General features: G+C 40.0%; 1 protein-coding gene and 1 long non-coding RNA gene across 17 annotated transcripts in view; one reads left to right on the top strand and one right to left on the bottom strand.

The window, feature by feature from the left end:
- The window catches only part of TEX26 (testis expressed 26), a 42845-nt gene extending 21883 nt beyond the window's left edge, over positions 1-20962 (bottom strand). For 8 of the 15 annotated variants that reach the window (XR_001749479.3, XR_941493.4, NM_152325.3 and 5 more), the window contains exons 1-3: positions 20842-20962; positions 13840-13924; positions 793-958 (exon numbers count right to left, since the gene is read on the bottom strand). Coding sequence is in view for 8 of the 15 variants with exons in the window: in NM_152325.3 (NP_689538.1) it covers positions 793-958; positions 13840-13924; positions 20842-20902 (312 nt within the window). In the remaining 7 variants the exon portion in view is untranslated. Of the gene's footprint in view, positions 1-792; positions 959-13839; positions 13925-19014; positions 19151-20841 lie in introns of all 15 variants that reach the window. The other 7 variants (NR_148425.2, NM_001353388.2, NM_001353389.2 and 4 more) reach the window with 5 other exon arrangements.
- A 47-nt stretch (positions 20963-21009) lies between these two features.
- TEX26-AS1 (TEX26 antisense RNA 1) overlaps positions 21010-27228 on the top strand; it is a 49774-nt gene continuing 43555 nt past the window's right edge. The window contains exons 1-3 of one of the 2 annotated variants that reach the window (NR_038288.1): positions 21010-21342; positions 21682-22372; positions 22744-22946. This is a non-coding gene — a long non-coding RNA (TEX26 antisense RNA 1). Of the gene's footprint in view, positions 22373-22743; positions 22947-27228 lie in introns of those variants that run through there. The other variant, NR_038287.1, reaches the window with a different exon arrangement.

Here is a 27228-nt window from a genome sequence, read left to right as displayed (position 1 = left end):
AAAAATGGAGGTTTGAGAGCGTATGAAACACAAGGCTAAGCACAAGTACTTGTACATGGCTGTTCATAGCTGCACAATTCACAATAGCCAAAAGGTGGAAACAATCCAAAGATGCATTAATGGATGCACACACAGACAAACTGTGGTTTATCCGCGGAAGAGAATATTATTCAACTGTGACAAAGACTGGAAGTACTGATATTTGCTACACGGATGCTACATGGGTAGTCTTCATAATAGTGCTTTTCCTGTCTTCTTTCTAGTCAGATAATTTCTTAGATGATGAACCTTGAAAACATTATGCTAAGTGAAAAGAAGCCAGACACAAAAGGTCACCTATTATTGATTCCACATGTAAAATATCCACAAAAGGTAATCCACGGACATAGAAAGCAGACGGTGGGGAGTGGAGTCGGGGGTAATTGCTTAATGGGTATGAGGTCTCCTTCTAGGATGATGAAAATGGTTTGGAACAAAAATAAAGGTGATGGCTGTCCAACAGCATGTATGTACTAAATGCCAGTGAATTGTTCACTTTAAAAGGTTAATTTTATATTACGTAAATTTCACTTCAATTTTTAAAAAGTCCTTTTTTAAAAAAAACTCCAGGGGATAGAACACAAGAGGTTAGAAATAAATGTGAGAAGGTAGACAGGAAATAGTCTAAAAAGAACCATGTATCCTGTGACTGTAGAAGCTGAGAGATCTTTGTGACATATTTAAACTCTCATTCTTATGAGTTGTTGATACAGTACAGTATTAAATTCAACACATATGTAGATATTATCTTACTTCATTGAGATGAGATTTGTGGCTCTTGATTCCTCTTGAAGTCTCAGTTTTGATCAAATCTTCTTTAGAGTGTGATTTCCAAGTGTACTCATCACTATATTGTGTCTGATTGAGAATAGGATCACTAAGTGAATATGTATATCCTAATCTTCTGATACCGTTTTGGCTATAAAAAAACCCAGCAGAAATTAGAGTTAGAGGTTAAATACCAAATCTCACAAAAGTACACATGTCAAATCATTTTACTCATTACATTTTTTAAAAAGATTGATTGGCATAAGAGTTGGTGCCAGAAATAATTTAATTTCAGGTTTTCCTTGAAGGAAAACAACCCTGTATTTTAGGATGGCTTTTAACAAAAGTACAGATGCCTAAAATAAAATTTAAAAACATAACAATATGAAATTTATTTCATTAATTTTTTTAAAGAGCTGAACACTCTCCAATACAAATGGCACTTCAGTGTAACCAAATAGCTGGTGAAGAAAAGCTTCTCTCTATAGAAATCTCCCATTTGATAAAGGGAAGAAATACAAGAATTGAAATATCACTAGTTTCAAGCCCATAATGAAATAATGAATCTAGGCAATGGCCAGCAATGTCCACTCACAGCTCCAAAAGAGGACCACCAGACACTATGAACTTCTGAGTGAATACATGCATCATCACTTATTAAATATCTTTGCCAAAATGCAAAACTTGAATCAGATGAAGTCTTCAGAATGTTGGATTACAGGAAATACATGAAAAGAGAAATCATTTAAATGGCATCATGGAGACCAAAAAAAAAAAAAAAAAAAAAAAAAAAAAAAAAAAAAAAAAAATCCCAGAATAATGATTCTGTTTCTTCAACAAAGAATTTGTCAGAAAAAAAAAAAAAGTTCTCTTTCTCTCTTTTTTTTTAAAGATTAAATGAGGTAAGAGACAATAACCAAATGAAATGTGTGGACCTTTTTTAGATTCAATTTCAAACCACTGCCTTTTAAAAAAAAGTTATGAGACAATTGGAGAGATTTGATTGCTGATTGGCTATTTGATATTAAGGAATTGGTTTTCTTAAAGGTGAGATAATATAATTGTTACATATTTTTAAAACATCCTTATCTTTTAGAGATACATACAAAATCTTTAGAATTGAAATGATACAATGCCTGGGATTTGCTTCCACATACTCTAGTGGGAAGGATTAGTGGAGGGTACAGATAACAGTATCTAACGAGTGATGATTGCTGTTGCTGGGTCATAGTGGGGGATTTGTTGTGTGTTCCTTTGTGTATGTTTAAAATATTTCATTTTGACTTTTTTTTAAAAAAGGGCTGAATAGATTCAGATTATCTCTGTAAGAAGCAAATATCTAGGAAGTTAGAAAAAAACATCCATCTGGATGATCATTCTATTGCCATTCAGATATAAACTGGAGAGTTTCCAAAGGGACGGGACACAGCACAAATAGCTTTTTTTTTTTTTTTTGAGACAGAGTCTTGCTCTGTTGCCTAGGCTGGAGTGCAGTGGTACCATCATAGCTCACTGCAGCCTCTAATTGCTGGGCTCAATCTATCCTCCCACCTCAGCCTCCCAAGTAGTTAGGACTTACAGGCATGTACCACCATGCCCAGCTGATTTATTTTTTATTTTTATTTTTTGAGATGAGGTCTCACTATGTTGCCCAGGCTGGTCTTGAACCTCTAGCCTCAAGCGATCCTCCTACCTCAAACTCCCAAGTAGCTGGGACCACAGGCGCATGCTACAGGCTGGGATTACAGCCGTGGACCACCACACTTAGTCACAAAAATCTTTAAAAGAATCAATTTTCAGATCTCAATTTCTCAATATACTCTTTCCTAGAACATATCCACCTGAGAACAAACCTGCAAATGTATGTGGGTTCTTTCTTCCTTTACCCCTTGCCTGATTCTCCCTTCCCCATTTCACCACAGGCTTTTTCTATGGTGCATTGTCTCGAGGAATAAGCCTCCAACCCTGAGGGGGTCCCCCAGTGAAGGGAAACATGGTAGGAGTGATTTCACAGACACCTCCTTGTAATCCAAGTTCCACTTGGAACCACTTGTCTGGGCTTGTGGTTCTCAATGTCATGTGTATTTCTATAGAGTGAAGGGTTGTGCTATACCCAGGGTACTAGGTATGTGTGGGGAGGCTCTGAATTTAGCTAAGTCATAGAGCATGGCTGAGAGTAATGTCTGGTTTTCTATCTCCTAACAATTACAAAATGTTCACCTCTTTTTAGGGAGAGGCCTCTGAGAGAAGAGAGGATGTAGAATGCTTAAAGTGACTCCTTTCCTGCCACATTTAAAGATAGGCATTTATCATCTTATCTCTGGGACATACCATTAGCTGGAAAGAAAAGCAGCTCTGAGGTGGTGAAGCAGCACAGATTGGTCATGCTGACTACTTTAAATATAACCAGAATCTTGCCTTTTTTTTTTATTTGACAGAGTCTTACTCTGTCACCCAGGGTGGAGCAACCTCCACTTCCTGGGTTCAAGCAATTCTCCTGTCTCAGCCTCCCGAGTAGCTGGGACAACAGGCACATGCCACCACACTGGTCTAATTTTTGTATTTTTAGTAAAGACAGGGTTTCACCATATTGGTCAGGCTGGTCTTGAACTCCTGACCTCAGGTGACCTACCCGCCTTGGCCTCCCAAAGTGTTGGGATTACAGGCATGAGCCACCATGCCCAGAATCTTTTCCGAGACAGCAAATTTTTAAAGATTCACTGGATAAAACTGAGAAATAGGAATCTTGTATTTTTTTCAGATTTTGTATTAATCATTCAATAAAGTATTTAAATTTTATTCTGAATCCAATCATTTTACAAAATATTTACTCCAATGCAGCCAATTTTCATTTTATGTTGTAAAATATTTAACAATAAATGAAAGTATAGGCTGACCTGCCAGACCAATATTAATTTTCACTATATGTAACTTTCTTTCACTGAATACTAGTAAATACTTGATTTGATGTCTGATGAAATTAATAAAATTGTTTCTGTTTTTATACGTGATTGGTATTTAATCATTCCCAAAAGGAAAGCAGCAGAATTCTATATACATGAGAATATATTTAGGAAACATTATGCTTTTTATTATACTCTTCACTTCACAAACAACTTATACATTTAGCTACACATTTTATTGCATTATTTTTGGATATAATGCAATAAAATGTGTAGCTAAATGTATAAGTTACTTGGATATAATTAATCATATCAGACCCAAATCTTTTAACACTTCCTTGTCTACTTTTAATAGTCTTCTCTATAATATGCATTCCATAATTTATTTTTCAGTGGTTTTTATAATATTCTCAAAATATATATTAACATTTATTTGGATTGAAAGTATAGCTAGATTTTATTTTGACATGAAATAAACCTGATTTTACTTATTGATTTGAACAACAAGGACTGATTTTACCAACTAGGTAAAGATGGTATAAACCGGATAAGCTAAATGTTCAGCTCCAAGATTTTGATAAAAATATATTCAAAATATGATAAAAGCCTTTTATCAAAAAAGTCTGTATTTTGGCTTAGGATTGACCTGGCAATGTGGGCTCTTTTTTGGTTCCATATGAACTTTAAAGTAGTTTTTTCCAATTCTGTGAAGAAAGTCAAAGCTTGAGGCATCACACCACCTGACTTCAAACCATACTACAAGGCTACAGTAACCAAAACACCATGGTACTGGTACCAAAACAGAGATATAGACCAATGGAACAGAACAGAGCCGTCAGAAATAATGCCGCATATCTACAGCTATCTGATCTTTGACAAACCTGACAAAAACAAGCAATGGGGAAAGGATTCCCTATTTAATAAATGGTGCTGGGAAAACTGGCTAGCCATATGTAGAAAGCTGAAACTGGATCCCTTCCTTACACCTTATACAAAAATTAATTCAAGATGGATTAAAGACTTACATATTAGACCTAAAACCATAAAAACTCTAGAAGAAAACCTAGGCAATACCATTCAGGACATAGACATGGCCAAGGACTTCATGTCTAAAACACCAAAAGCAATGGCAACAAAAGCCAAAATTGACAAATGGGATCTAATTAAACTAAAGAGCTTCTGCACAGCAAAAGAAACCACCATCAGAGTGAACAGGCAACCTACAGAATGGGAGAAAATTTTAGCAACCTACTCATCTGACAAAGGGCTAATATCCAGAATCTACAATGAACTCAAACAAATTTACAAGAAAAAAACAAACAACCCCATCAACAAGTGGGCAAAGGATATGAACAGACTCTTCTCAAAAGAAGAGATTTATGCGACCAAAAAACACATGAAAAAATGCTCACCATCACTGGCCATCAGAGAAATGCAAATCAAAACCACAATGAGATACCATCTCACACCAGTTAGAATGGCAATCATTAAAAAGTCAGGAAACAACAGGTGCTGGAGAGGATGTGGACAAATAGGAACAATTTTACACTGTTGGTGGGACTATAAACTAGTTCAACCATTGTGGAAGTTGGTGTGGCGATTCCTCAGGGATCTAGAACTAGAAATACCATTTGATCCAGCCATCCCATTACTAGGTATGTACCCAAAGGATTGTAAATCATGCTGCTATAAAGACACATGCACACGTATGTTTATTGCGGCACTATTCACAATAGCAAAGACTAGGAACCAACCCAAATGTCCCACAATGATAGACTGGATTAAGAAAATGTGACACATATACACCATGGAATACTATACAGCCATAAAAAATGATGAGTTCATGTCATTTGTAGGGACAGGGATGAAGCTGGAAACCATCATTCTCAGCAAACTATCACAGGGACAAAAAACCAAACACCGCATGTTCTCACTCATGGGTGTGAATTGAACAATGAGAACACATGGACACAGGAAGAGGAACATCACACACCAGGGACAGTTGTGGGGTGGGGGGAGAGGGGAGGGATAGCATTACGAGATATACCTAATGCTAAATGACGAGTTAATGGGTGCAGCACACCAACACGGCACATGTATACATATGTAGCAAACCTGTACATTGTGCACATGTACCCTAAAACTTAAAGTATAATAATAAAAAAAGTTTGTATTATAGAAATTTATTAAAATTAGTGTTTCGATTTTCCAAATCCTTTTTGAACATAGAAAATTAAACAAGTTGCTTCCAAGTGAAAGAGTAACAGGTGCAATTTAATAGTCATTTGTTAAGACATGCCTTTTCAATATATTCTCAGAAACTGAGACAGGGAATAACTCAAAGAATGGAGGACAAATCATCTTATTAATAGCTTTCAATAAAATTTAAGGAGTACCGAACCAAGTTGTCAGCTGATCAGTCATTAAAAATCACATTGTGATTTCTGGGACATAATTCAGAAACAGTTCAGAGTACTGAGTGACACTGCTATACTAAAACTCCTTTCATTTGCACTTACTTATTTCTATATATATATGAACAAAGTTTCTTAACATTAAAATCTATAAATTGAAAAAAGAGAGAAGCAGAAAAAATTGATGCTGAGTGCAGTTTCATTCTGAAAATAACAATGCTCAAAACTAGATATAGGAACTAATTGAAAACTAAACAGCCACATTTATCTCATTAAGATGCAGTTGCAAAAAAATTTTCTTTTTGTATTTCATAATTATGAACATTTATAATGTATTTATTGCTTTGAGCGATTGTGTACTAAAATAATTGTGATAACTCAGTACTTAGGGTCATATAACATGTTTAAAAATTAATTTCAATTAATATACTAAAATAGTTGCAAAGAAGTATAATAGCATGATCAATAAATTGCTTCCAAACATAAAATATATCACAGCAGGGAAAAAGTCTATGGAGGAAGTGGAGTGGGAATGAGAGTTCAAGAAGAGAAAGAAATGAAATAAATGATCAAATAGAACTTATTTGTGTGTTTATTTAAAAGATCATGGCAGGTATTAATTTGCTAAAGCATTCAGAGTATTCATTGGTTTTATTGAAAAGTTTTATTTTAAAATGTCAATATGCAGGATGGGGAGGAAGTTTAATCTTTTGCAGCTATTTAAATTTATGTTGACATTTGACAAAGCCATCATACAAAGACTCTCTATAACCAAGGAACTTATGCAGACTTCACCCCTGAAAGCACCAAGAGCCAAATTAGGCTGTAATAAACTGTAAACATTAAGGTCACATCCTTAAGGGGGAAAAAAGAAATTTTAAAAAATCAAATAAAAAATAAATTCAAGAATAATTAGAATAAATAGTCTACCCTAATGAGAAGGAACCAGAAAAATAATTCTGGCAATATGACAAAACAAGGTTCTATAACATCCCCAAAAGATCACACTAGCTCTCCAGCAATGGATCTAAACTAAAATGAAATCTTTGAAGTATCAGATAAAGAATTCAAAAGGTTGATTATTAAGCTACTCAGAGAGATACCGGAAGAAGGTGAAAACCAACATAAAGAAATTAAGAAACAACTCAGGATATGAATAAAAAGTTTTCTAAAGAAATAGATTTTAAAAAAAATCAGAACTTCTAGAAATGAAAGACACATTTAGGGAATGACGAAATGCAGTGGAAAGTTTTAACAGACTAGAACAAGTAGAAGAATAATTTTAGAGCTAGAAGACAAGGCTTTTGAATTAACCCAGACAAAAATAAAGAAAAAAGAATAAAAAGAAATGAGTAAAGTCTCCAAGAAATATGGGATTATGTAGAATGGCCAAATCTAAGAATAATTGGTGTTCTGAGGGAGAAGAGTAAGTAAAAAGTTTGGAAAAATTATTTGAGGGAATAATTGAGGAAAACTTTCCTGAGCTTGCTAGAAATTTAGATATCCAAATACAAGAAGCTCAAAGAACTCCTGGGAGATTCATCACAAAAAGGACTTTACCAACGCCTATAGTCATCAGACTGTCTAAAGTCAATGTGAAGGAAATAATTTTGAGACAAATGAGACAAAAGCATCAGGTAACCTATTAAAAAGCAAAACAAAACAAAAAAACCTATCAGACTAACAGCAGACTTTTCAGCAGAAACCTTACAAACCAGAAGGGATTGGGGTCCTATCTTTAGCCGCCTTAAAGGGAATAACTCTCAACCTAGAATTTTTTATCCAGAAAAACTAAGATTTATAAACAAAGAGGAAATAAAGTCATTTTCAGACAAACAAATGCTGAGGGAATTTGTCACTACCAGACCAGCCCTACAAGAAATGCTAAAAGGAGTTCTAAGTCCTGAAACAAAAGGTCAATATACACCAGAATAGAACCTCTTGAAAGGACCTATAAAACAATAACACAATGAAAAAAAACAAAGTATCTAGGTAGCAATTAACATGATGATTAGAACAGTACCTCACATCTCACTATGAACATTGAACATAAATGGCCTAAATACTCCACTTAATAGATTGGCAGAATGGATTAAAAAAAAATCCACAAACCACAGAATATCTGCTGTCTTCAAGAGACTGATCTAAAACATAAGGATTCATATAAACCCAAGGAAAAAGGGTGGAAAAAGATATTGCATGCAAATGGAAACCTAAAGCGAGCTGGAGTAGCTATTCTTATATCAGATAAAACAGACTTTAAAGCAACAACAGTAAAAAAAAAGACAAAGAAAGTCATTATATAATGATAAAAGGATTAATCCAACAAGAAGATATTACAATCCTAAATTTGTATGCATCTAACACTGGAGCTCCCAGATTCATAAAATATTTACTACTAGACCCAAGAAATGAGATAGACAGCAACACAATAATAGTTGGGGACTCCAACACTCCATTGACAGCACTAGACAGATCATTGAGACAGAAAGTCAACAAAGAAAGAATGGACTTAAACTACACTCTAGAACAAATGGACCTAACAAATATTTACAAAAAGTTCTACCCAAGAATTGCAGAATATACATTTTTCTCATCAGCACATGGGACATTCTTCAATATAGACCATACAATAGGCCACAAAACAAGTCTCAATAAATTTTAAACAATAAAAGTCATGTCAGGTATCTTCTCAGATCACAGTGGAATGAAACTAAAAATCAATTCCAAAAGGAACTCTCAAAACTATACAAATACATAGAAATTAAACAATCTGCTCCTGCATGATTTTTGGGTTAACAGTGAAATCAAGATGGAAATTAAAAAGCCCTTTAAAATAAATGATAATAGTAACACAAGTTATCAAAACTTCTGGGATACAGTAAAAGCAGTGCTAAGAGGAAAGTTTATAGCACTAAATGCCTACAGCAAAAAGTCTGAAAGATCACAAATTGACAACCTAATTTCATACTTCAAGGAACTAGAGAAACAAAAACAAACTAAACCCAAAGCTAGTACAAGAAAAGAAATAAGATCGGAGAAGAACAAAATGAAATTAAACAGCAAAAAAAAATCAATGAAACAAAAAGCTTGTTCTTTGAAAAGGTAAAATTGATAGACCATAAACTAGATTAACCAAGAAAAGAAGAGAGAATATTCAAATAAACTCAATTTGAAATGGAACTAGAGACATTTCAACTGACACCACAGAATTATGAAAGATCATTCAAGACAACTATGAGCACCTCAATGCACTCAAACTAGAAAATCTAGAGGAAATGAATAAATTCTTGGAAACACACAAGCCTCCTAGATTAAATCAGGAAGAAATAGAAACCCTGAGCAGACCAATAACACGCAGTAAGATTGAGTCAGTAATAAAAAAAACTGTCGACTTCAAAAAAAGCCAGGGCCAGATGGATTCACAGCTGAATTCTATCAGATGTTCAAAGAAGAATTGGTGCCAATCCTACTGAAACTATTCCAAAAGATTGAGAAAGAGGGAATCCTCTCCGACTCATTTTATGAAGCCAGTAACACTCTGATACCCAAAACCAGGAATACTGGTCTGTAGAAAACTACAGACCAATATCCCTGATGAACATTGATACAAAAATCCTCAACAAAATACTAACTGAATTCAATAGCACATCGAAAAGATAATATGCAATAATCAAGTGGGTTTCATCCCAGGGATGCAGGCATGCTTTAACATATGCATGTCAAATATGATATATCACATAAACGGAATCAAAAAACAAAAATCATATGATCATTTCAATAGATGCAGTAAAAGCATTCAATAAAATCCAGCATCCCATTATGATAAAAACCTTCAACAAACTAGACGTCTAAGGAATATACCTTAAAAAAAATTAGAGCCATCTATGACAAAACCACAGTTTTCATTACACCAAATGGGGAAAAGTTGAAAGCATTTCCTCTGAGGCCTGGAACAAGAAAAGGATGCCCACTTTCACCACTTCTATTCAACATAGTACTGGAAGTCCTAGCCAGACCAATCAAGCAAGAGAAAGAAATAAAGTGTATCCACATTTGAAAAGAGAAAGTCAAAATATTGCTGTTTGCTGATGATATGATCATATACCTAGAGTTTGGATAAATGAATTCTGTAAAGTCTCAAGTTACAAAATCAATGTACACAAATCAGTAGCACTGCTATATACAACAATGACCAAGCTGAGAATCAAATCAATAACTCAATCCGTTGTACAACAGCTGCAAAAAATAAAATACCCAGGAATATACTTAACCAAGGAGGAGGTGAAATATCTCTACAAGGAGAGCTACAAAACACTACTGAAAGAAATCATAGGTAACACTAACAAATGGAAACATCCCATGGATGTGTTTCATGGATCAGAAGAATCAATATCATGAAAATGACTACACTGCTCAAAGCAATCTACAGAGTCAATGCAATTCTTATCAAAATACCAACATCATTTTTCACAGAATTAGAAAAAACAATTCTAAAATTCATACAGAACCAAAAGAGAGCCCAAATAGCCAAAACAATCCTAAGTAAAAAGAATAAATCTGAAGGCATCACATTACTAGACTTTAAATTATACTACAAGGCTATAGTTACCAAAAGAGCATGGTACTGGTTTAAAAAATAAAGTAGGCACATTGACCAATGGAACAGAATAGAGAACCCAGAAATAAAGCCAAATACTGACAATGAAGTGATCTTTGACAAAGCATACAAAAACATAAATTTGGGAAAGGACACCATATTTAATAAATGGTGCCGGGAAAATTGGCTAGCATCTCTCACCTTATAAAAATCAACTCAAGACAGATAAAAGACTTAAATATAAGACTGGAAACCATAAAAATTCTAGGAGATAACTTAGGAAAAACTCTTCTGGACATTGGCCTAGGCAAATAATTCATGATTAAGACCCCAAAAGCAAATGCAACAAAAATAAATAAATAAATGGGACCTAATTTAACTAAAATGCTTTTATACAGCAAAAAGAATAATTAGAATAATCAGACAACCCACAGAATAGGAGAAAAATATTTGCAAACTGTGAAGCTAACAAAGGACTAACATCCCAAATCTACAAGGAACTCAAAGAAATCACCAAGAAAAAAATCCTATCAAAATGTTGGTAAATGACATGAACAGCCATGTCTCAAAAGAAGGTATACAAATGGCCAAAAACATATGAAAAACAATGCTCAACATTGCTAATCATCAGGGAAATACAAATGAAAACTGCAATGAGATACCACCCCACTCCTGCAAAAAATATTATTGAATTTAATTATTAAAAAGTCAAAAAACCAATAGATGCTGGCAACGATGTGGTGAAAAGAGAACACTTATACCCTGATGGTGGGAATGTAAATTAGTACAACCTCTATGGAAAACAGTATGAATATTTCTTAAGGAACTAACAGTAGATCTATCGTTTGATCCAGCAATGCCACCACTAGGTATCTACCCAAAGGAAAAGGAGTCATTTTATTAAAAAGACAACTGTACATGTATGTTTACCACAGCACAATTCACAATTTTAAAGATATAAAACCAACCTAAGGGCCCATTGATTAGTGAGTGGTTTAAAAAAAGTGGTGTGTATATATATATACACCATGGAATATTACACAGCCATAAGAAAGATGAAATAATGTCTTTCGCAGCAACTTGGATGGAGCTGGAGGCCATTATTCTAAGCGAAGTAACTCAGGAATGCAGGAATGGAAAACCAAATACCATACATTCTCACTGATAAGTGGGAACTAAGCTATGGGTACCCAAAGGCATACAGAATGACATAATGGACTATGGAGACTCAGAAGCAGAGAGGGAGGTGGCAGTGGGTGAGGAATAAAAAATTACATATTGGGTACAATGTACACTACTTTAGTTACGGGTACCCTAAAATCTCAGATCTCACCATTATGCAATGCACCCATGTAACCAAAAACCACCTGTACCGCAAAAGCTATTGAAATAAAAAAGTTAAAATTTTTATACTGAAACTTTTGTGAGAAGTTTATAAATATATAAATTCAAACATCACTGACCTAGACTCCCTAAGTTATCTATTTGTTTTTGGCTTTCATCCTAAACATTTCTTCTTCAGGCTACTGTTACAGTTATATAGATGGCACTTTCATTACAGTCAGATGATAAAATTTCCCAGTTACGGACTCACTGGGATAGCTAGTAACTCAGAAATCTGGAATCTTGTAGCCTTGTACTTTTTGGAAATCTATCACATACTATGGTGGGAAAAATGAATGAAAATGACTAACTTCTTTGTGTTAGTCACTGTCCTAGTGCTTTGTGTCCTCAGAACAGCCACTTTAGGCAGGTATCATTGTCCCCATTTCACTAATGACAAAACTGAGCCCCAGATGGCTTGTTACTTGCGCAAGGTAGCAGAGATAATAAGGGTAAGAGCAGGGGGCTAAGAAGCCATTTCTGCCTAACTCCATAGCCATGGTCTTACCAATACTCCACTTTTCAATATCTTGAACGCTTTTAAGATGAAATTTTTGTTTGTTTGTTTGTTTTGAGACAGAGCCTCGCTGTGTCACACAGGCTGGAGTGCAGTGGTGTGATCTCGGCTCACTGCAACCTCCACCTCCGGAGTTCAAGCAATTCTCGTGCCTCTGCCTCCCGAGTAGCTGGGATTACAAGTGCCTGCCACCACACCCGGCTAATTTTTGTATTTTAGGTAGAGAAGGGGTTTCACCATGTTGTCCAGGCTTAAGGTGAAAAGATTCTCACTGGACACAATTCACAGAATGAAGATGATAATTGAAGGCTCTCTATGCTGATTTCATACCTACCAGTGACACAGTAAAAGATGATGGGGCAGCCGGATGTGGTGGCTCACGCCTGTAATCCCAACACTTGGGAAGGCCGAGGCGGGCGGATCACAAGGTCAGGAGATCAAGACCGTCCTGGCTAACACAGTGAAACCCTCTCTCTACTAAAAATACAAAAAATTAGCCAGGTGTGGTGGCGGGCGCCTGTAGTCCCAGCTACTCGGGAGGCTGAGGCAGGAGAATGGCGTGAACCCAGGGGGCGGAGCTTGCAGTGAGCCGAGATCGTACCACTGCACTCCAGCCTGGGCGACAGAGCGAGACTCTGTCTCAAAAAAAAAAAAAAAAAAAAAAAAAAAAAGGCAGCTGATGTTTAGAAACTCCCACTACTCTCAGCTCAGGTTGAATTGGAGGAGAAGCTGAAGCCAATATTGCAGTATCTGGAGGAGTGGAGGTAAGAAGAGGGGGACAGTGGCCTTCTTCCATCTTCCAAGACTAGTCTTGGTGATGCTATGATAACAAGTATTTATTCATCCATTCATCTATTCACTCAATTGTCATTGCCTGCCTACTCTATATTAGGGAATGGATTCAAGTCACGTGAATGTTTAGGTAGCACAACCTTATTAACCTATATATTGGGTCTGCTGTAAACCACAATATACAGGAACTTTATGAAAAATTGGTAGCCATTTTCTCGGTTTCCCTATAGGAGGTGTGGATACTGTTTGAGGGGAAGGGGTATCACGGATGCTTGGAGCAGAGGTGTGCACACAGTAGCCCGTATCCAAGAGCATTTTTACGAAGCTTCTCTAATTACTGTCTATGTGTTTGGATTCTGAGTCATAAAAGACAAGTCAACAAATTAAAACATGTATATCAATCCAACACAAATAATGATCTACCGAATTAAGGCAGGCACTGCTCCTGTTTTAGGCGTGAATGCAGTCCTCATAGTGGTAGCATAGGAATCCCAGTTGGGGTCATCTGCTAAAAGTACAATAAAGCAGTTTTAAATATGGCAAACCAGAATATTTTGAAGAAATGTTGTTTTAACAATTAAGATAATTTTGCAAGAGAAAAAAACATTTTGGATGGTTTATCTTTAGAGTCTAAGGAATAAAGGCCAAAATACAGCCTCTAATAGGAATGAGGAAGTTCGACTTATCTGTTTCACCCCAAAATAAAAGATAGTTCTACTGTTTCTCCTGAGCATTCATGCATGCTATTTTAAAGAATTAAAGACAGACATAAAAATATAAAGAGGAAAGTAATTCATCTGAAACTCTATCATTTTAAGAGACCTACTATTATGTTTTAGTCACCAACTTTACATGCATCATATTAGATGTACCTATAGACACACGGAATGACTTTACACACACAGGATCATATTACACACATCAAGTTTTATAATGGACATCTCCTTACTTCTTCCTTTCCCTGCCATTGCCACTCTCCTTCCTATCCCTCCTCCCAGGCAGCACATGTTAACAATTTTGCCTGTTTCTTTGCATACATGTGGAGGTAATCACATGCTGATTTATACATAGACATATCGGGTTTCAGTTATCAACATTTTGTTTCACAAAAGTGGGCTCATACGACACAGAGTGTCTTTTTCTTATATCTGTCACTAACAGTGTGTGATAGAAAACTCCTCCAAGTCATCTGGCGTAGTTCTAATTCATGTCTTGTAATGGTTGTGCAAAATTCTGTGGTGTAGATGCCATTTAAAGCTATGAGAGTGGGGAGATCAATGAAGGAGGGAGTAGACTTGGAGCAGAAGTTCCAAGGCTGAGACCTGGAACACTCCAATGTCAAGAATTTGGAGAGAGAAGGAGGAGCCAGTGAAGGGGCTGAAAAGAACTGTTAGAGAGGTGATGAAGAAACCAGGAGCCAGTGGCATCCTGAAAGTCAAAAAAAGTGTCCCAGAGAAGGGAGTCAAACACTGCTGATGATTCCAGGAGGATGCCAGCTGAGAATTCACCACTGGTAGTGCTATTGTTTGAATGTGTCCCCCAAATGTTGTGTATTGGGAACTTAATCCCCAAATGTATATGTTGATAGCATTTGCAGGTGGGGCCTTTGAGAGGTAATTAAGATTAGATGAGGTAATCAGAGAGGGGTCCCCTTGATGGGACTGGTGGCTTTATAAAAAGAGGATGAGAGACCTGGGCTAGCACATTCTTGCCCTATCACCATGCAATGCCCTCCACCATGTTACAATGCAGCTAATAGGCCCTCACCCAATGCCAGTGCCATGCTCTTGGACTTTCCATCCTCTAGAACCATCAGCTAAAGTAGTTTTCTTTTCCTTATAAATTACCCAGTATGTAGTATTCTGTTACAACAACAACAGAAAATGGACTAAGACAGGTAGATACCAGCAACAACACTGTTTATTTGCCCCAACTTCCCATTGTCAACGAAGTACCACCAAATTTCTCAGGAATATACATTTTAAATTTAAAATTCAGTCATTCTCTCACTCTTCATATCTGGGTGGTTACCTGCTGCTTTATATATGTCATGAGAACCTTGGTTGAACATCTCTACTTTTTGAATACACAATGTTCTCTAGGATGTATCCCTTCATCCCTAGAATACTGTAGCCACCTCATTGCCTGTATTTGTTCCCCTTCATGTGTCCTATTACAATTGCTATTAAGTATTTTTCTTCAATTTCCCAATATTTTGAAAAGCTATATGCTACTGCTTAGCATAGGGAGCTCTGGCCAAATATTTATGGTTCCTGTTATCTGTGAACCTCTTAATGTTCATCTCCTCATCTATCCCAATCAAGTCTTGTTTATAATTTAACAGACTCTCATTTCCAATCAGGATCTGATCATCTGCAACTATTACCTGTGCCCTTAACCCTGGCTGAAGTTCTACCTCCACTTAAGAGCCCCTTAGTCAGATAACTGAAGCCTTAGCCCCTTGTATTCCCCACTCTGTAACTGTGCTTCTATGCACTCCTAGTGTCTGCTCTCTAATCCTGCTCTACAAGAAATGACATCATTCTCCAATACTCCTTCTTTAGTGGGCATCGCTTTATGCTTGAAAGCATTTTATCCCAATAGCAGAATTCAATGTTCTTTGTTAAAAGAATTACAAGTATGAACAAGTAAAAGGGAAGAAATTGTGAGGCATGCCACTCGTAAAAGAAGCCTTCTCTAACCTGATTTGAACTTCGGCATTGGACTTTCGGAACAATCAGGAAGGATATTCTGCACAAAAGCCACACATAAATTTTCCCTGTTTTTTCTAAGGCAAACAACTCTAACAGTCCAGATCACATTTCTATTAGGCTCAGATATGCCTCAAAAAGCCTGGCAGAACAGCACTCCAGGCAGCACCTCCCAATCAATCATGTGGGCAAGCACGACACGCCCCTCTGTGTTCCCGCCCATCTAGGGTCCTATCCCTTCTGAAGATAGTTTGGCAGCTGGGGTCACCAATTGCCAGGTGCCTGGATCAGGAGTCTGACGGACAAGAGCAGCATGCCTTACTGTTTCCAGGAACTGAGGCCATGAGAGCCTCCCTCTTCCATTGTTACCTTTGTACAGATCAGGCACACCCTCCACTCCCTAATCCTAACCTGCTTGGATGCACACTTGATCTTTGGTACATCTTCCTTTAATTTCATGTTAATGATTTCCCTTACTACAACTCTTTTTGTAAGGGCTGTATTTCTATGCTTTTTACCTCCATTGACAAAGCTTCTGAAAGTACAGTATGCCATTGGAATTAATTTTCTTCATTAACAGAAATGTTCATTGAGAAATCTGTAATCACAATATTCTGAAAATCTGTTCCTAGTATGTTCTCTGCAAGTCACTACTTTCTTCTCAGTATCTCAATGTCCTTTTGTGTAGCTCATATCCATCTTTCCTGTGATTACGTCTTCCTAATTCTTTCTTCTCTCATTTTCTGTTCCTCCTTCAAAGAAGTCCCCAAGCCCTCCCGTGGACCCAGCCCTGTGGAGCACTGGGACACAGAGTCTTGACCTGGCCTTGGAGAACTCACAGGCCAAGAGATGAGCTATGTATCCTATGAGCACAAGTTTAATGTGGTGCTGATGTCCTATGTGTCACAGGGAACATGAAGAGGGTGCAATTCTTTTTGCTTGGATGAGAAGATGCGGCAGCAAGGGCAGGCCCAGGGGTCATCATAGCATAGGTGGCATCTGAGCTGTGATTTAATTTAGTAGATGTTTGAAAGAGAAGCACAGGACATGAAGTAAAACAATTTACAGAGGAAGTAGCATGAGGTATGAGAGTCTGAGATGAGACACAACAAATAGCCCCATGTGAATGGAGCAAAGGGAAAGATGGCTAATGACAGGTCAGCAAAGCATCCTAAAGCCTCATTCTGCTAACCTTGACAATCCACTGGATGTGTTCACCATTAGGAAAATATAAAGCTTAAAAAATATTATAAAGTAGTAACATGTATATTCTATTATACTTTACAAAATATTTTCACATATATTATTTTATTCCCTCACTTTGTTTTGAGGATTCAAGGTATTGATATATGTAAGTTGCTTGTAGTGTGCCACATGGTGACACTACAAAAAAGATATTTCCATGTCCTAATCCCCAAAACCTGTGAATCTTACTTTATTGGGAAAAGGGGTCTTTGCACACGCAATTAAAGATTTCGAGATTAGGAAATCATCCTGGATTATCCTCGTGTACCCTAAATGCAATTACAAGTGTGCTTATAAGACAGAGACAGAGACCTGGAGTAATGAGGCCACAAGCTAGCATTACAGGATCTCTGGGGTGTTGATTTTTCTGGCTGGAAAACTCTGTGGCTGCAGTGCCTTTGCCAGAGTTTTTGTCCCGCATTGAGGTACACAGACAAGTGAAGAGTGAAGAAGAGTTTTAGTGTTAGAACAGCTCGGAGGAGTGGGTAGCTTCTCTCTGTAGGCAGGTCATCCGGTCAAGTGTTCAGCTGTCAGTAGAGAGGAGGCCCTAGGCAGCGTAGCTCCTCTCCATAGGCAAGTCATTCAGAGATCTCTGCAGGTCTCTGAAGCTCTCAGCAGAGAGCGTAGCTCCTGTCTGTCGGCAGTCGAGAGGGTACTCCTTCCTTTCTGCAGCTAGTTGCCCCATCATCTCCAGCTATCAGCAGAGAGCATACTCCTCTACAGCGGGGGGTTCCCTTGTCTCTCCCTGCCCTCTTCATTCTCTGGCTGCTGTCCTCTTCCCTGCTCTGGCTGAGCCCAGGGTTTTTATGGACTTCAGAGGGAAGGAAGTGCATGCTGATTGGTCCATGGGTGGCCATGCGCAGGCTGGAGGAGGCAGCATGAGTCCCCACTCAGATTCCTGACTGGCAGCCTGGTCCCCAGACTTCAGGCCCTCCCTGGTCAGAGGGTGGGGCCTTACTGGGGACCCCAGCCCCTTCCACCCAGGACTCTGTCTGCCTCCTGCTGCCATTCACAGCCCTGGGGCTTGGTCCCAACCCCACTCTGAGATCAGAGCCAGTGGAGAGAGGCCAGGCAGTGGGAGCAGATACCCTTTAGCCTGCAGGGATGTGGGTGGGGTATTGCCTGGCAGTGGGATCAGATACCCCTGAGCCTGCAGGGATGGATGGGTGAAGGGTGTCCTTCCTGGGGAGTCCAAGGGTGCAGGCTGCAGAGATGCCCAGGTCCTGTGCCTGGGAGGGCAGCTGCAGCTGCACCAGGGAGCTCTTGCCCCACCAACTTGGAAGAGGCAAAGCTCCCACTTGTCCCTGGCTCCTGCCTGCTTCATGGAGTGAAAGGCCCAGGTCTGCAGCCGTGGGTTCCACAGGGAGGCTCAGAGGCACAGGGAGGCTCAGACCCACAGCCGCAGTTTGGGTGGCTGTAGCCTCGCCCAGGACTGCAGGGCTCCTGCTTGCTCCATAGAGCAGGAGGCCTGGGTCTGTAGCTGCAGTTTGGGCGGCTGTAGCGGCACAGGGAGCTCCCATCCCAACTCAGAAGGGGCAGCTCCCACGGGCTCCATGGAGTGTTGCAGCCCCAGCTGTGCTTCCCTGCTGCAGCCAGCATGATGGCAGCAGCCACTGCCATCACTAGCAGTGCCGATGGCTACCTGAAGCTGGAAGACGTAAGGACCACTTCTCCCCTAGGGCCTGTAGAGGGAGTGCAGACTTGTCCAGACCTTGATTTCAGGCTCTCGACCTTCAGAGCTGTGAGCAAATACATTTTTGTTGTTTGAATCCACCAGTCTGTGGGAACACATAGCAGCCACAGGAAACTAATACAACACCTGAGAGCCCCATCTGTAGTAATTATTCAATAACAGTTAGTCATCAGTCACCATCAACCTCATCCTATTTCGGACCAAACCTGGGCAGTGGGGACACATCAAGCCTACCATTTGGAGGGTGACTCTCCCAGCAGTGGGGAATGAAGTGGCACAGAGTAGCCATTAGAGGCCCAAGCCTGGAGGTAAAGGGGCGAATTCACCTGGGGGAAAAAGAGCTTTGGAGGCAGAATCAAAGAGACCTGGTGATCAAACTGCAGTCTCAAGGAAGCTGCCTTCCCTTCTAAATTGAGCAGCTAGGACCCTCTTAACTGAACTCTCAAAGTCTGGAAGGTTTGAGGAGGACAAGGAGTGTGATTTTGCACATGTCAAGTTGGAGGCCCTGCTGTGACACCCACATGGAACTGTCTGGTAGACAGTTAGATATTCTGGTCTGAAAAAGTAGGAAGAAAGTCCAAGTCAGAGATAAAGGTTAGAGAGTTGTTGGCACCTTTATGCAGCACTTGAAGCCCTGTGCAGGATATGGTCACAAAGAGAAGGTAAGCCTAGAAGGATCAATCCTGGGGGACTCCAACAGTTCCCAGACAAGAAGGGGATGAAATGGGGAGACAGTGGGAAAACAGGGTGGTTAGAAAGGGAAGAGAAGCATCCAAAGGGGTGCTGTCGGGATGCTAGGAGGGGATCCTCCCTCCTCTGTCTCTCCTGTTTGCCTTCCCATCATATAGAAACTGAGTGTATTAGATATTTTCTGCACTAATTAAGTATTTTCATTTTCCATTCTTAATTTACAACGGAATGAATTGGAATGAAAATATGCATTTCATTCACTCTTTTGGGAGCACAATTCTAGGGAATTTGTACTTGAACAATCCTTCACTGCTCCATAGCCACTGTGGAATCACAGTTACCCAACTATACAGCAGCAATGGCCAATTATTGCCACAAGAGACTATGATGGAGCTGACTACACGGTAATCATGCCACTAGCGTCACAGCTAGAGTGGTTCTCCCTCCACAGACCCAAAAGGCTGAACTGGTGAACCTGCTGCATCTGTGGGCAGAATTAGGATGAAAAGCACTACCTCTGTGAAATACAAAATCTCTGTGGAAGAAAAATCAATTCAGGTTAGAGGCGGCAGCTGAAGGCCATGGCTCCCAGCCTGGTGCGACAGCCCAGGGAGGGCGTCTGCCTCTGCAGACACAGCTGGGACTCCATTCAGCAGCCAACCCTTCCCCCACTTTCCTTGCTGTTTCCAAGATCCTATATGGGGATCGGGACTCAGGCAGGACCTGTTCTCTTCAGAGCTTCCAGGACTTCTCTTTCTTCTTTGCCTTTGGCCCTGTTTTCCTTGGAAAATCACCAGTTCTTCCTTTTTTCCTGTCCCCTCTTAGCCAGGCACTTCCTCGAGTGTTTAAAAACCCTGCGCGTTTTAGGGAGCGGGGATTTGGCAAAGGTTATGCGAAGGACTGAAAAGGGGCAGCGTCATGAAGGCCCTGTCATTCTCCCTGACTCCCCGTCTTTTCCTCAGTTGAGCATACTCCTAAGAGCGATGCCACACCCTTAAATACTAAGGCCCCTTTTTCTCAACAGGACCCTTTCCCCGGGAAAGACCCCAGCCCCGCCCCGCAGACCGGCAGAGTCTGCTGTCTTACTTGGCTGGAGGTTGTGGTGGCAGAGAGAGGGATCCGGAGCCCTGGGCCCAGGCTGTTCCATTCTGCCCCAGGAGGCGGCCGCGGGGCCCTGGCTCCAGCTATCTCAGCGCTTGCGGGAGCCGCGGGCTGCTTTGTGACGCGTCGCCATGGAGACAAGGATCGGGTTCCAGGGAGTTCTGCCCCTGCCAAGGGGTGCTGGCCACGCAGGAGGCTTAACCTGGCCGGCGCGGGAATGGGGTGCAGAGAGCAAAGAAATGTGGCTTTGATCTTATGGATGCCTTACTTTTACATTATTTGTACAGTTCTTGCAGTGAGCTTTCCGGACCACTGTCTTGTATGTTTCCTAAGAAAAGCAAAAAGGGAAGAGATTGAAGAGAAAGTAGATTTTCAACTACAAACTTTCATCCATTTGCTTTCAGCTTAAGCAAATGTGCGCAAAGTTGTCATGGATTTTTGCAGTCAATAAAAACCAAGCAAGAAGACTGAATCCCAAGTCATCTGGTATAAATGGAAGCAGTTTCTGTGATAGTTCCACGCGGTCAGAAGGGTCATCCTGGCTTAGGAGAGGGGCAGAAGAGGAAATGCACGCGTGGAAACAGGAGTGGGCAGGGAGGATGTGACACTGTCCTCCTCACCAGGCCACGTTCCTGGCACCAACCATAGTGTTTGTGAGGGTCAATTTAATTGTTCTTGTGCTCTCATAGAGGAAGCTGTGTCTTTCATCCCCTTGTAAGAGTTTTCACTGATGAAGGGGGTCTTTTATCTTCATATCTTGGGAACTACTGAAACTGTTTCAAAGAGTCAAAGACACCAATAACTAACAGAAATTCTTGTTTTCAGGGGCAGATAAGAAAAGAAACAATTTGCTGAAACTCCCTCTGCTTATAACAAAACTGACTGAAATCAGCCGGAATCAATATGGCCAAATGCAGTTTGCGCACAGCAAGCTTGCTGATGTCACAGCCTGAATTTCTACTGCATGTTTCATACCAACTCCCTCCAAATTTGCACATGGGACCCACCAGGAAGCATGAAGAGAGAGCCATGCATGCCTGAAGACTTCCCAGATGTTCCCTTTGCTTCCACCAATCACCTGCTAACCCCAGGATCCAACCCTAAACCTTTTGTAATAAAATTACTGCCCTAAAGCCAGTACAAGACAGATTTGAACTGGACTTTTGTTTCCTCAGAAGTTAACTTGCAATGTGAAGCTTTCCTTTTCTCAAAAACTTGGTGTCATAGTGTTGGCTTCTAGTGCAGTGAGCCCCTTTTGCTGGATAACCTTACCTGGTAATTTGACATACTAGGTGGTTAGTAACTACTGACTGTCTCCAGGTTACAACACAGTTATTACCCACTTGGGTGAAAAGAGAAGACAGGAAATACATTTTGGAGTTGGCTGGCAACCTGTTTACAAAGCAATTTACAACAGTTCCTTATTCTTAAGGGGCTATTCTAATACAAGACCTCAGAGAAACAGTGCAGTGTGACAAAGGAGGAATTTATCAAAGGAGACAGAAAAAGCATCAAGGTAAGGATCCCAAATATATGTGCAAGGAATGTCTTTAAAATGAAGAGCTAAACTAGAATTTCCTGAAGGTAGAGTTCTATCCATATAATGGAATGAATATAACACATTATAAACTCTCATGTTTTGAAGCAATGGAGGGTGGAACACATTAGAAGGCATAGATGTTATTAAAAGGAATGAGTCTAAATTAGGATTTAGTAGTGGCATCTAAATTTAAAAAGTAGCACCCAATAACAGATTACTGTCTGGAAATGGTAGAGCTAATTAGCATAGCATAATTTAAGAGAAATATATGTTTAAAATAGAGCAGCAAGTATATAGAATTTTGAAAGTGAATTCTTATTAATATCTTACAATTTGTCTCATTTTAGGCAAGCTGTGAAATGGTGCGGTAGGAACCAAATAGAGAGCCAAAGGATCTTTCTGTCACTGCAGGCCCTTAGGGGTAAGCAAATCCTTCCCTGATCCCTGGTCTCCTTATCTGTAAATGAGAATACCAGCACCCACCTCACTGTGCTGTAAACATGATGAGTTCTAACAATAATTTATAAATTGTAAAATCACACAAATCTAAGATATTGCTCTTGTTGCTATTCTGATCTTCATTCCTTTTATAGTCTTTCTACTTCAAAGTGTATTTTTGCGTGGGTCCATTTTATGGCTAGCGGTATAGCACTATTCCTGCCTTTGAATTCTGGTTGCCTGAGGCAACCCTTCTAAATGATTAAGTAGAGTATTTCCCCCCTGCTTTCTTCTCTCCCTCAACAAATACTGACTGTGCACTGAATATGAGCTGTATGATGGCATCGGGGCAACACCCTGATTATTATAGTGAACAACTTCCTAGAAAAGGAGGTGCCTGAGCTGGGTCCTCAAGGATGCTTGGAGTCAACCAGGTGAATAGGGGGAGGTGACAGGTGACACAAAGTAACGCAAGGGCCCAGAGGCATGGAACACTGTGTGTAGTCCCAAGACCTTTAGTAGTTTAATATTGCCATATTGTAAAGTGTGTCAGGGGAAACTGAGAGCCGGCTGGGGTGGAAGGCCCTGCAGGCCATCCTGAGAAGCTTGGACTTCACCTGAGCATGCTTGGGTTAAACAATGCAGTGCAGGGGCCAGGTTGGAAGTTTAAGTAAATCCTGGCCTCTCATTCCAGAAGGAGGAGAGGCAAAATTCCACAACATTCTGCCAGAGTAAGTTAATCATTCAGAAATTAAAGCATCTAGGTTACTAATTTAGGTTACTGATATCTCTTTAGCAGAGTTTCAAATTGATCCAAAACAATTGAGAATAGTTGTATTGAATGGGTTAAATGTTAATTGGTTGTTTTCAGTTGAAGTGATTACAGCCAAGCGAGGTGGCTCATGCTTGTAATCCCAATACTTTGGGAGTCCAAGGCAAGAGGATCCTTTGAGCCTAGAAGTTTGAGACAAGCCTGGACAACATAGGGAGACCCCGTTTCTACAAAAAATGAAAAAATTAGGCAAGGTGATGCATATGTGTAGTCCCAGCTACTTGGGAAGCTGAGGTGGGAGGATCAATTAAGCCCATGAGTTTGAGGCTGCAGTGAGCTGTAGTGGTGCCACTGCACTCCAGCCTGGGTGACAAGAGAAAAACCCCATCTCCAAAAACAAAAAACAAAAAATTTGTGACAATTTATTTTTGCATGCACACACGCACCTGCGCATGCAGGTCCGTGCATGTGCGCGCACACACACACAAACACACACATAGAGAACATGATGTGAAGTAGTAAAGACTGGGATGGGTGGTAAGGGTGAAGAGATAGCAAATATAGAACACTCAGGTTTGAACTATAACAGAGAAGAAAACCTCTAGCCAGGGGAGGAGGAGGGGCTCAGGTAGAGAGAGTTATTACTTGAAACAGGGGAGGAGTAACCAAATTCCTAGGCCAAGGGTCAGGAGCAGAAAGATAGAGCTTGAAGCTACAGGAGAGAGCAGATGGGGTCCAGGCCTGGAGAAGATGGGTGTGCTGGAGAGCCGCTCCCCAATCTGAGTGTGCATATCTGCCCCTGGGCTTGTGTGAGCACACAGATTCAGACTCAGGAAGTCAGGCGGAGCCTGAGCTGCTGCATTTCTAACAAGATCCCAGGTGATTCACAGAGTTTGAGACGGACAGCTCTAGAACCTTGCTGTGCTCCGGTAACCTCAGCAGCACCTTGTTAGAAATGCAGAAGTTCAGGCCCCACCCAAAGCTGCTAAATCAAGATCTGCACTCTATCAAGATCTCCGGAGGATTCCTAGGAACATTCCAGTTTGAGAAGCACTGCTCCAGGTCATATGACAGGCAAGGTCATCTCCCGAATGAGAGGGAGAGAGGAAAGAGTTGAAGGCAAAAATTCAAAGAGCAAGCTAATGAAGAACGGGTAAAAGAACTGACAGGTGGCCACTGCCAAAAGCCCAGAAGAGGTCACAGACAATCTGCCACCTTGCCAATTACTTTGGATACAAAGATAACGAAGTGAAGCTTCTCTGCCTTCACTCTTACATTTGGACAAAAGACTTTCTATTACTATGCAGTATGCAATGCTTTGATTCGAGCATCCTTATTTAAAAAATAAAATAGAGATTTCTTTTAAGGAATTGTCTCACACAATTGTGACAAGTCCAAAATCTGTGGGGTAGGACAGCAGGCTGGAGACACAGGGAAGAGTTGATGTTGCAGCTTGAGTCTGAAGACTGAGTGTTGGCAGAATTCACTCTTGCTGGGGGAAGCCAATGTGTTGTTCTAGTTCATCCTTCAACTGATTACATGAGGTCCACCCACATCAGAGAGGGCAATCTGCTTTATTCAAAGTCCATGATCTAAATGTTAACCCCATCCAAAAACACCCTCACAGAAATATTCAGAATGACTGTTGACCAAAGATCTGGGCACCGTGGCCCAGTCAAGTTGACATGTAAAATTAGCCATCACAGACTCAGATCTTGTTGAATCATCTAGGTCATAGTTGCCACTAAGAGGGGTTGTAGGCAAGTAGTCCAAGAATGATTTTGGTCCTCTTATTGGAAATTCCAGAAAAAAATTATATAGTTACTTTCTATTAGGATAGTCTAATTTAATGGGGTAAATTCTAAGCTCTGCTTCTAACTTGGTACTTACCAAATTTACTTACATTTCATCTAAATAAAACCATAACAGCAAGTTTAGACTATTGATTCTATCAAAACCTCATCAATCCCTTTTATATGTGACCTCCCTCTTCGGCCAGCCCTTCTCTCCCTAATTCTTCTCTAAACTCTTTTTTTTTTTTTTTTTTTTTTTTTTGTATTTTTTGTAGAGATGGGGTTGCACCATTTTGCCCAGGCTGGTCTCAAACTTCTGGGCTCAATCAATCCACCCACCTCAGCCTACCAAAGTGTTGGGATTATAGGTGTGAGTCACGGCACCCAGCCTCTTCTCTGAACACTTAAGAAACACACAGGCTGTGGCAGCCATTGGGTAATTACCAATGCCTTCCATTGTTAGTTCTTCTCTCAGGTTTATGCAAGTAGCAAACAGCAAAAGTGAACAGTCATTTTAAATCTGTTATACCAGCACTTATCCATCCAAATGAATGTTCTCTTTTTCAAAGTAATCACTTATTTGAATGCTGCTTGTATTAGTTTGTTCTCACACTGCTATGAAGAAATACCCGAGACTGGGTAATTTATAAAGAAAAGAGGTTTAATTGACTCAGTTCCACATGGCTGGGGAGGCCTCAGGAAACTTACAATCATGGAGAAAAGCACCTCTTCCACAGGGCAGCAGGAGAGAGAATGAGTGCCCAGTGAATGGGGAAGCCCCTTATAAAACCATCAGATCTCGTGAGAACTGACTCACGATCACAAGAACAGGATGAGGGAACCACCCTCATGATTCAGTTATCTCCACCTGGTCCCTCCCATGATACATGGGGATTATTGGAACTACAATTCAAGATGAGATTTTGGCAGGGACATAGCCAAACCATATTACTGCTGCTATCACTTGAAGCATTTTTGAAATTCTTTAGATACTCCCTTTGAAAACTGACACACGCATTCTTTTGAATTTCTTCAATGGGGGCATAACTTTGCTTTTTCAGGATAGATTGGATATTTGAAACAGTAAAACAGATAATTAAGGTAGGCGATCAAGTTGAGCAGTGTTATCTTTTAGCCAAAAATCAAGCTAGTACCATCAGGCAAAAAAAAAAAAAAAAAAAAAACAAAAACTCCCTCATTCTGTAAATCATTTCTGGACTTGCATTCTTGTTGGAATAAGTGACTAGCCTCCAAGATCACTGAGAGTTTGGGTAAATCAATCACTTGGATCAATCAATCCTTAAATATTTGTTTTAAAACTAAATTTTGCCAGGCATGGTGGCTCATTCCTGTAATCCTAGCACTTTGGGAGGCCGAGGCGGGTGAATCACCTGAGGTCAGGAGTTTGAGACCAGCCTGGCCAACATAGTGAAACTCCATTTCTACTAAAAATACAAAAATTAGCTGGACATAGTGGTACACACCTGTAATCCCAGCTTCTTGGGAGGCTGAGGCAGGAGAATCACTTGAACCCAGGAGGCGGAGGTTGCAGTGAGCTGAGATCATGCCACTGCACTCCAACCTGGGCAACAAAAGCAAAACTCTGTCTCAAAAATAAAACAAAATAAAATAAAATAAAAACTAAATTTTACATTACATGTCATTGGTTTCTATCTCTAGAACTGGATTACAAGCATCTTAGATGTTTTCCTTTTTGAATTTCTCTCAGAGCACTTGTTTTAGTCTTATTAGCTTACACAAGGGTCTTCTTTTACAAGAGTGGAAGCTCCTTGAAGGCAAGGGCCATGTTTAGGCACCTTTGTATGCCA

This window comes from Homo sapiens, chromosome 13 (genome assembly GCF_000001405.40).
Source record: "Homo sapiens chromosome 13, GRCh38.p14 Primary Assembly".
Taxonomy (NCBI): domain Eukaryota; kingdom Metazoa; phylum Chordata; class Mammalia; order Primates; family Hominidae; genus Homo; species Homo sapiens.
The sequence above is the reverse complement of the archived record's forward strand: the minus strand, read 5'-3'. Positions and strand labels throughout refer to the sequence as shown.